The sequence below is a fragment of the Homo sapiens genome, chromosome 7, assembly GCF_000001405.40.
Source record: "Homo sapiens chromosome 7, GRCh38.p14 Primary Assembly".
Classification (NCBI taxonomy): Eukaryota; Metazoa; Chordata; class Mammalia; order Primates; family Hominidae; genus Homo; species Homo sapiens.
Window position 1 is genome coordinate 150,566,846 of NC_000007.14, and position 10,959 is coordinate 150,577,804.

The window sequence follows — 10,959 nt, forward strand, 5'->3', positions numbered from 1 at the left end:
GAAAGGGGTATGGGGGCTTAGCTGGGAGGCCTGTTGTGCTGAGCAGGGGTTCAGGGGCTCAAGGGTCTTTCAGAATAACTGATAACTCTCTAGTTTTGGCCCAGAAGTTTCTTCCAGAATGTCACAGCATGACCCATGTTTTTTGTCTCACTGCAGAGCCTTTGCAAGGTTCAGTATGGTAGCCACCAGGCATACCAAGCTGAATATTCCTTCTTTCCTTCTGGGGAAAATGCCTGGTGCAAGTTGTTCTGCCTGACTTTGCCTTTTAGAATTCTGACAATGGAGTAGCTATTTAACTTTAAATAAATTGAAACAAAATAAAATTTAAAATTCAGAACTGCAATCACACTCGTCACATTTCAAGCGCTCAGTAGTCACGTGTGGCTAAGGGTCACCATCTTGGACAGCACAGAACAACCCCATCCCTGCAGAAAGTTCTATTAGAGCTGCTGGATGATCAGGTGGGCAGGTCCCTTGCACAAGTAAATCTGGACAGCTCCTCCCCTCACTTCCTCTCTTCTCCTGTTTCTCAACATCCTGGCTTAGTATTGTGTGCAAAATCAGAGAGGGGTGCAAGATCCTGATTTTTCAGGTAAGGGAATAGGGGTGTGTGTGGTGGGGGTCGGGACGAATGTGCGATTTTGGTGAGGAGGGACCTGTATCTTAAATCGTCTGGTAAACATGTTTTCAGACTATATTCTCGCTGGTTCCCGTTTCCTGGCTTTGCTAATTTTAGGCTGTGATCTGTTTTCAAGGCTGAGCCCTACAAATCAATGCCTCTTCCAGAGATTGCTGCTCAGAGGATACTTGTTTTACAAATAAATGTTTCCTCTCGCTGGTTGTGGAATTTATATAGAAACTTTGATTCTTCCAGGGATAAAGTTGGGTGAGCGGACAGAATTAGCTCTGGGGGAGCTGGTGGGAAGAGGAACATTGGGATGTGTAAGGGGCACAGCTCCATATGTGGCCCCACAAAGACTGCACCCAGGTCAGGATTGGAGGCTCTGCAGTCTGAGGTCTTGTTACAGGGTTAACTGTCTGCTCGGAGCTGCCCGTTAGGGAAACTGTCTCCTCAGGGACAGTCCTGGGTTTACTGGGCATTGAGCTCCCCTTTAGCGGGTAGGAGGAGGGAGATGCCACCTGGTGTGACTCTCTACAGTTCAGGAGAAGCTGGATGCTGATGGGTGCTTGTTCCTTAGGCAGAGAGAGGAGAATTCAGCCACCTGAAGTCAGCACCTACAGAAGCACAGTCTCCTGGCTTTGCCTCTGAATTATTAACAGCAGAGCAGCATTAAAGAGCCCACACACTAGAAGGAGGATATGAAGAAACACCCAGAGAATGTCACAAAAACCCAGAATGTCACAGTATTGTTTTCTTCTTGCTGGTGTCCTATCCTCTCTCCTAACACCAGCCACCAAAGCTGATTTTTAAAAAATGCCATGATTTCTCTTGTTTACAAGAAGCTGTTTCCTATACCCTATTCTTGAAGGATAAAGAAATAGTCATTCAAAAGAAATATCTGGCTTTTCACAGTGTTTCATATTTGTTGGCTTCCTATGAGGTGACTCTGTCTTTAACAACTACCATTTTCTGCCTGTTTTGTTCAAAGTCTGCTCCAATAAGAGTTCTTCAAATATCTTTCTCCATTGCAAAATGTTTGTAGGTAGCAATGAAATAAAACATTTAAAATTAATACCATGTTTCTATAACACTACATATTAATTAATAAAGGAATGGATTGTCATTTTCACAGATCAGATGTGGGCTGGACATAATGATCAATCAAAGGCAAGAAGCAGGGAGATTATCCATTTATTTATTTAACAATGATCGATAACCATTCTTTGCCCAGTATTGTGCTTGTCCCCAGGGAATAATGAGAAATACAAGACATATGTGGTCTTCTCATCACAAAGCTTGTAGTATAAGAGGAGACAGTAAAAAAATCAAGCAATTAACTTCCTAAAGTAATACATATTCTGTAAGAAGCCTCTGGGGTGCAGTGGATCATAACAGAGGGTGTTGCTGGTAGACAGTGGTGTTGGGGAAGACTCTCTGGAGAGCCGAGGCCTGCGGGTTGAGCAGGAACAAGCTGGGCACTAGGTTGGAGGGTGAGTGCTCCAAAGAGAAGGAATGATAACTGCAAAGGCCTTGAAGGTGGAAGGAGCCTAGATTTCCAGAACATTGAGGGTAGTGTGGCTCACACATAGGAGAGAGGAGAGAGCTGATCACACAGGGCCTATGGGCCATTCTGAGGACTTCAGTTATTTTGAAACCAATAGTAAGCCACTAGGAAATTTAAACAAGAAAAAATATCAAATTTTAGTTTTAAAAGAACATCTGATTGTAGAGTAGAAAAGGGATTGAAGGGGAGATGATCAATTAGAAGCCTGTTAAGTTGTATACAATTGACAGTGGGTTGTATTAGCACAAAGATGGAGAGAAATGGGTAATTTCGAGTTTTTTGGAAGTGGAATCAATAGGATTTGGTGATGGGCTGATGAGAGAGAGAGGATAAAAGAGTTGTAGATGACCCCAAAGTTCTGCAGGAGCCACGGGGCTAGATGTTGGTGCCATCTGCTGAGCGGGGAGCCAGGAAGGCAGACAGGATGTGGAGGTCAGGGCTTAATTTCGGCCAGGTTCTGTTTGAGATGCCCATGAAATAGCCAAATGGAGTGAGATACAAAAGTTTGGAACTTTTATAAGCTGAGGGAGATATAAAAGTTTGGAACTCTGAGGAGGGTGTAGGCTACAGACCTCATATAAACACATCCAAGCCACGAATCTCTAGATAGAGGGGGGAAGGGGCCAGAACCCCTGTGAGGAAGCACTGGAAGCATTTATGTTTGTGTAAAGAAAAAGGAACAATCTGAAAATGAAACTGAAAATGGAGGGTTGAGGAGACTTTTGGGAAATGGAGCAGGAGAAATCAATGTAGCAAGCTCATGGCAAAAAGAAAGTTGTTGTTGACTACAGGCAGTCAGGGATTCTAGTTGCTTCCATTTCCCTAAAATGACATGGTTATGTTTCTTGATCTACAGGAGTTCAAGCGACAATGGCAGCCCAATACGGCAGTATGAGCTTCAACCCCAGCACACCAGGGGCCAGTTATGGTGAGAGGGCATTCAGTGCTCCCCAGACCAGGCTGCAGGGAGGTTAGCAGGTGGGGGTGGGGGATTTGGGGGGGAATAGGGGTGGGGTTCTCCTGCCTTGCCACCCAGTCCCCATTTGAGCAGGAGAAAAATATTTCCAACCTCTTTTCTCATTTTCTCCTCATTTGACCTGCTCTTTCATCTTTCTTGACCCTCTGCACTTTCTGCCCATGGTGTGGCTAAGCAGCTAAGCAGAAGAGAGATTAAATATCCTCTGATTGACCCAGGGCTCGGCACAGTTTCTTACCTCCTGCTTCCTACAACATGGACACACCAGAACAGCTGGTTGTAGCCTATCTGATTGTTTTTCTGCCCCTTTCTTCAGCCTGGAGGAGAACTGGGAATGAGGAATGTGGGAGTAATTGTCCCTCACCCTGGTATCTAATTTCCCAGCTCCTGGTGGTCTCACTATAACCAACAAATTAAACTGGCTGGCTCATTCAGTGTATCACATGACCCTCCATTTTCTTCCTTACCCATAGAAATTGACTATATCAGTTGAGATTTTGCTGGTTTAATAAACTATCCCAAAGTTTCATAGCTTAAAACATCAGCCATTTAGTTGGTTCTTAATTCTGTGGGTTCACTGGGCTGTTCTTGGGTCTGGACCAGCTTGGCTCATCTCAGGCACTCACTCATGCATCTGGGGTAAGCTAGTGCCTGGTATGCAACTGAATGGTCTTGGATAGCCTTATGGACATGTCTGGTAGTTAGCAAGCTCTCAGACAGCAAGGGTAATAGAGATAACTGGGCCTTGTTGTTATCATCAAGAAGGCTAGTCCAGGCTTCCTTTTAAGGCAGTTGCAGGAGGAGCAGAAAGAAAAGGCAAGCCACAGTGCATAAGCACTTTTGGAGTCTCTGCTTGCACCAGGCTTTCTACTGTCCTACTGTCCAGAGCAAGTCATAAGGCCCACCCAGATTCAACAGTTGAAGAGACAGATAGCATCTTGATGGGAGGAACTGCAAATCTACATCCCAGAGGCATGCATCCAGGGATGGGAATAGATTGTGGCTACATTTACAATCTCCTCCATGGATTGTCACCATATGCTCTCAACACTGACTAACTGTTGCAGTGTTGGAGCTGGCCTTTGGTGCTTTGTCATTTTGCCTCCCATGATTCTCCTACTTCCTTCCCTATGGCCAAAAAATGCCCTCAGGATATCCTTAGGACAGAGCCTTCTGCTGTGATGCTAACTAAAAATGTGAACGCCAGCCCACGTTTTTCCTTAGATAATCTTAGCCTTCCTGTATCCAGTGTTCTCAGTCACATCACTTTCGGAAATACGCTTCTTTCATCCCAGAATTCTGGTTATCAAACGTGGGAAGGTGTATTTTAAGAATAATGATAAGTTGCATAACCCACTTCCCTGGCTTCTTAATGGGAAGAAGAAATGCTTCATTTTGAATATAAATTGGGAAAATAAATCTCCACTACAGATATGCTAAAGTCAAATCTTGGGTTACTCCCTGCACGACCTTATTTAGAAAGAAACAGCTGGCCGGGTGCAGTGGCTCATGCCCGTAATCCCAGCGCTTTGGGAGGCCGAGGCGGGTGGATCATCTGAGGTCAGCAGTTTGAGACCGGCCTGATCAACATGGCGAAACCCCGTCTCTACTAAAAATACAAAAATTATCCGGGCATGGTGGTGCATGCCTGTAATCTCAGCTACTTGGGAGGCTGAGGCAGGAGAATCGCTTGAACCCAGGAGGCAGAGGTTGTAGTGAGCCGAGATCATGCCACTGCACTTCAGCCTGGGCAACAAGAGTGAAACTCCGTCTCAAAAAGAAAAAATAAAGGTACAAACAGCTATTATTGGCAGCTCATAGTTCTCTTCTGAAACCATTTTATTTCTTCCTCTGGGCTACATAGCTACAAAAGGTCAGACTGAGAAGCTCAAAGGAATCCTAAAAAGCAAGATTGAAGATAGGAGATTAAGGGAAAGGCCAGTTGCCCAAGTACTGAAAAATGAGCATCAGGCCTACAGGAATCTCTGAGTGCAGCAGTAACATCAGGAGAAGCCCCCACAGCCAGTAACGGAGGAGGGCACTGGGGGTGAGGACTCTGCAGGGGAATCTATTAGAGGTAGATTCTAACAGCATGGCTTTTTTTTTTTCTTGATGTCCCAGGGCCTGGAAGGCAAGAGCCCAGAAATTCCCAATTGAGAATTGTGTTAGTGGGTAAAACCGGAGCAGGAAAAAGTGCAACAGGAAACAGCATCCTTGGCCGGAAAGTGTTTCATTCTGGCACTGCAGCAAAATCCATTACCAAGAAGTGTGAGAAACGCAGCAGCTCATGGAAGGAAACAGAACTTGTCGTAGTTGACACACCAGGCATTTTCGACACAGAGGTGCCCAATGCTGAAACGTCCAAGGAGATTATTCGCTGCATTCTTCTGACCTCCCCAGGGCCTCATGCTCTGCTTCTGGTGGTTCCACTGGGCCGTTACACTGAGGAAGAGCACAAAGCCACAGAGAAGATCCTGAAAATGTTTGGAGAGAGGGCTAGAAGTTTCATGATTCTCATATTCACCCGGAAAGATGACTTAGGTGACACCAATTTGCATGACTACTTAAGGGAAGCTCCAGAAGACATTCAAGACTTGATGGACATTTTCGGTGACCGCTACTGTGCGTTAAACAACAAGGCAACAGGCGCTGAGCAGGAGGCCCAGAGGGCACAGTTGCTGGGCCTGATCCAGCGCGTGGTGAGGGAGAACAAGGAAGGCTGCTACACTAATAGGATGTACCAAAGGGCGGAGGAGGAGATCCAGAAGCAAACACAAGCAATGCAAGAACTCCACAGAGTGGAGCTGGAGAGAGAGAAAGCGCGGATAAGAGAGGAGTATGAAGAGAAAATCAGAAAGCTGGAAGATAAAGTGGAGCAGGAAAAGAGAAAGAAGCAAATGGAGAAGAAACTAGCAGAACAGGAGGCTCACTATGCTGTAAGGCAGCAAAGGGCAAGAACGGAAGTGGAGAGTAAGGATGGGATACTTGAATTAATCATGACAGCGTTACAGATTGCTTCCTTTATTTTGTTACGTCTGTTCGCGGAAGATTAAACTTAATGAAAATCTGTTTGTATTTTCTGCATATTCTCTGGCAACCTTGCCCCATACTTACTTATTTAGCATAGTCGAGTGCTCTAGTTTCTGTCTCTCAGGCACTCGTAACTAAGGACCACCATTGGCCATTGGTAGATGTTTGATTGACTTAACAAGAGAGGGACAAATTTTCAATTTGTGAAACTCCAAAGCAGAAAGTATTGGTGCTTGCTACCTTGTGAATTCTTCCTTAGACATGCAGAGAAAATGTATGCAAGAGACCAAAAAGATGGCTCCAAGCTATGTCATGTTACCTGTAATAAAATCTTTTCTTCTAGATTCTTTCTATGTTGGCAGATAATCTCCCCTTGTAGCTTCCACTCACTTATTCTTGCATTCAGAGTCACAATGATCATCTTACCCATGTGGTTTTTGAGAAAGAAAGATCAATTCTTTGTTTGCAGTAGGTAATCTTAGAGATGGAGATGATTGTAGAATTATTCCTAGATGAGTGTCAATTTATTTAATTCCATTGTCATATAAGGAGTCAAATTGTTTCTTATCATTTGTTCATTGAAGAACAGAGACCTGTCTGGAAAATCGATCTCTACAAATTCAATTAAATAATGATCCCCAAATGCTGAAAAAGTGAAATACAGCAATTCAACAGATAATAGAGCAATGTTTAGTATATTCAGCTGTATCTGTAGAAACTCTTTGACGAACCTCAATTTAACCAATTTGATGAATACCCAGTTCTCTTCTTTTCTAGAGAAAGATAGTTGCAACCTCACCTCCCTCACTCAACACTTTGAATACTTATTGTTTGGCAGGTCATCCACACACTTCTGCCCCCACTGCATTGAATTTTTTGCTTATGTTGTTTATAATAAAACTTTTCAATTATCTCATATTTGTGCAGAATTGGAACCTGTTTTGTCTTGGAAAATACTACTGCTACTTCTAATAATACAGGGATGAATTTCACTTTATGGTAAGAGTTCAAGATGATTTTGGAGCTAGACTTTGTCTACCCTCATGACATCTCCCCTTCCCCCTTTCCCTAGAAGATTTGAGCCACAATCTCAACCCATTTATCAGCCAAAGACCACAACTTCCTTGGATCTTCATTATGTGCTGATGGAAATTATGAGTAACCAAGGTTTCTGAGACCTGTGTAGTTTTGTTGGTGCAAAAATTCCCTTTACTATAGAGATAGCGATAGTTGAAGTTCCTATCCCTTTTCTACTTTTCTACTGGGCTCTCCTCACCTAATAATTTCTAGAAATCCTGAAAGCGTGTTTTCATGTTCTACCAGTATGTCCTAGAGGTCACATGTGATTATGCCAACATTCCATGTTCTGCCATCTTGAAATTGGCTTCTCCATGCCCTAAATCATTTTGCCCAAAATAGGATATACATTTCCTTTTTTTTAAATTTTATTATTATTATACTTTAAGTTTTAGGGTACATGTGCACAATGTGCAGGTTTGTTACATATGTATGCATGTGCCATGCTGGTGTGCTGCACCCATTAACTTGTCATTTAGCATTAGGTATATCGCCTAATGCTATCCCTCACCCCTCCCCCCACCCCACAACAAGCCCCGGTGTGTGATGTTCCCCACCCTGTGTCCATGTGTTCTCATTGTTCAATTCCCACCTATGAGTGAGAATATGGGGTGTTTGGTTTTTTGTCCTTGCAATAGTTTGCTGAGAATGATGGTTTCCAGTTTCATCCATGTCCCTACAAAGGACATGAACTCATCATTTTTATGGCTGCATAGTATTCCATGGTGTATATGTGCCACATTTTCTTAATCCAGTCTATCGTTGTTGGACATTTGGGTTGGTTCCAAGTCTTTGCTATTGTGAACAGTGCTGCAATAAACATACGTGTGCATGTGTCTTTATAGCAGCATGATTTATAATCCTTTGGGTATATACCTAGTAATGGGCTGGCTGGGTCAAATAGTATTTCTAGTTCAAGATCCCTGAGGAATCGCCACATTGACTTCCACGATGGTTGAACTAGTTTACAGTCCCACCAACAGTGTAAAAGTGTTCCTATTTCTCCACATCCTCTCCAGCACCTGTTGTTTCCTGACTTTTTAATGATCGCCATTCTAACTGGTGTGAGATGGTATCTCATTGTGGTTTTGATTTGCATTTCTCTGATGGCCACTGATGATGAGCATTTTTTCACGTGTTTTTTGGCTGCATAAACGTCTTCCTTTGAGAATTGTCTGTTCATATCCTTTGCCCACTTTTTGATGGGTTTGTTTTTTTCTTGTAAATTTGTTTGAGTTCATTGTAGATTTTGGATATTAGCCCTTTGTCAGATGAGTAGGTTGCAAAGATTTTCCCCCATTTTGTAGGTTGCCTGCTCACTCTGATGGTAGTTTCTTTTGCTGTGCAGAAGTTCTTTAGTTTAATTAGATCCCATTTGTAAATTTTGACTTTTGTTGCCATTGCTTTTGGTATTTTAAACATGAAGTCCTTGACCATGACTATGTCCTGAATGGTATTGCCTAAGTTTTCTTCTAGGGTTTTTATGGTTTTAGGTCTAACATGTAAGTCTTTAATCCATCTTGAATTAATTTTTGTATCAGGTGTAAGGAAAGGATCCAGTTTCAGCTTTCTATTTATGGCTAGCCAGTATTCCCAGCACCATTTATTAAATAGGGAATCATTTCCCCATTGCTTGTTTTTGTCAGGTTTGTCAAAGATCAGATGGTTGTAGATATGCAGCATTATTTCTGAGGGCTCTGTTCTGTTCCATCGATCTATATCTCTGTTTTGGTACCACTACCATGCTGTTTTGGTTACTGTAGCCTTGTAGTATAGTTTGAAGTCAGGTAACATTATGCCTCCAGCTTTGTTCTTTTGGCTGAGGATTGACTTGGTGATGCAGACTCTTTTTTGGTTCCGTATGAAGTTTAAAGTAGTTTTTTCCAATTCTGTGAAGAAAGTCATTGGTAGCTTGATGGGGATGGCATTAAATCTATAAATTACCTTGGGCAGTATGGCCATTTTCACGATATTGATTCTTCCTACCCATGAGCATGGAATGTTCTTCCATATCTTTGTGTCATCTTTTATTTCATTGAGCAGTGATTTGTAGTTCTCCTTCAAGAGGTCCTTCACATCCCTTGTAAGTCGTATTCCTAGGTATTTTATTCTCTTTGAAGCAATTGTGAATGGGAGTTCACTCATGATTTGGCTCTCTGTCTGTTATTGGTGTATAAGAATGCTTGTGATTTTTGCTCATTGATTTGGTATCCTGAGACTTTGCTGAAGTTGCCTATCAGCTTAAGGAGATTTTGGGCTGAGACGATGGGGTTTTCCAGATATACAATCATGTCATCTGCAAACAGGGACAATTTGACTTCCTCTTTTCCTAACTGAATACCCTTTATTTCCGTCTCCTGCCTGATTGCCCTGGCCAGAACTTCTAACACTATGTTGAATAGGAGTGGTGAGAGAGGGCATCCCTGCCTTGTGCCAGTTTTCAAAGGGAATGCTTCCAGTTTTTGTCCATTCAGTATGATATTGGCTGTGGGTTTGTCATAGATAGCTCTTATTACTTTGAGATACGTCCCATCAATATGTAATTTATTGAGAGTTTTTAGCATGAAGGTTGTTGAATTTTGTCAAAGGCCTTTTCTGCATCTATTGAGATAATCATGTGGTTTTTGTCTTTGGTTCTGTTTATATGCTGGATTATGTTTATTGATTTTCGTATGTTGAACCAGCCTTGCATCCCAGGGATGAAGCCCACTTGATCACGGTGGATAAGCTTTTTGATGTGCTGCTGGATTCGGTTTGCCAGTATTTTATTGAGGATTTTTGCTTCAATGTTCATCAAGGATATTGGTCTAAAATTCCCTTTTTTTTGTTGTGTCTCTGCCAGGCTTTGGTATCAGGATGATGCTGGCCTCAAAAAATGAGTTAGGGAGGATTCCCTCTTTTTCTATTGATTGGAATAGTTTCAGAAGGAATGGTACCAGCTCCTCCTTGTACCTATGGTAGAATTCGGCTGTGAATCCATCTGGTCCTGGAATTTTTTTGGTTGGTATGCTATTAATTATTGCCTCAATTTTTCAGAGCCTGTTGTTGGTCTATTGAGAAATTCAACTTCTTCCTGGTTTAGTCTTGGGAGTGTATGTGTCGAGGAATTTATCCATTTCTTCTAGATTTTATAGTTTATTTGCATAGAGGTGTTTATAGTATTCTCTGATGGTAGTTTGTATTTCTGTGGGATCGGTGGTGATATCCCCTTTATCATTTTTTATTGCATCTATTTGATTCTTCTCTCTTTTCTTCTTTATTAGACTTGCTAGCGGTCTATCAATTTTGTTGATCTTTTCAAAAAAACCAGCTCCTGGATTCATTGATTTTTTTGAAGGGTGTTTTCTGTCTCTATTTCCTTCACTTCTCCTCTGATCTCAGTTATTTCTTGCCTTTTGCTAGCTTTTGAATGTGTTTGCTCTTGCTTCTCTAGTTCTTTTAATTGTGATGTTAGGGTGTCAATTTTAGATCTTTCCTCCTTTCTCTTGTGGGCATTTAGTGCTATAAATGTCCCCCTACACACTGCTTTGAATGTGTCCCAGAGATTCTGGTATGTTGTGTCTTTGTTCTCATTGGTTTCAAAGAACATCTTTATTTCTGCCTTCATTTTGTTATGTACCCAGTGGTCATTCAGGAGCAGGTTGTTCAGTTTCCATGTATTTGAGCAGTTTTGAGTGAGTTTCTTAATCC

At 42.2% G+C, this 10,959-nt stretch overlaps 1 protein-coding gene across 2 annotated transcripts; it reads left to right on the plus strand.

Moving 5' to 3' along the window:
• The first annotated feature begins 544 nt into the window (after positions 1-544).
• On the plus strand, positions 545-7,108 carry GIMAP4 (GTPase, IMAP family member 4). Of its 2 annotated transcripts, none has more exons than NM_001363532.2 (3): positions 545-592; positions 3,043-3,156; positions 5,284-7,108. In NM_001363532.2, the coding sequence occupies exons 2-3, from the start codon at positions 3,057-3,059 to the stop codon at positions 6,213-6,215; spliced, it is 1,032 nt and encodes a 343-aa protein (NP_001350461.1). In that variant the 5' UTR covers positions 545-592; positions 3,043-3,056; the 3' UTR covers positions 6,216-7,108. The 2 variants fall into 2 exon arrangements, with proteins under 2 accessions (NP_001350461.1, NP_060796.1); NM_018326.3 differs by having other exon boundaries at positions 3,043-3,114.
• The last annotated feature ends 3,851 nt before the right edge of the window (positions 7,109-10,959 follow it).

Bases quoted from the DNA above. Each gene is read 5' to 3' on its own strand.
- GIMAP4 (NM_001363532.2), top strand. From the start codon at position 3,057: ATGGCAGCCCAATACGGCAGTATGAGCTTCAACCCCAGCACACCAGGG. The intron at 3,157-5,283 runs GTTAGCAGGTGG...TTGATGTCCCAG, and splicing joins CCAGACCAGGCTGCAGGGAG to GGCCTGGAAGGCAAGAGCCC.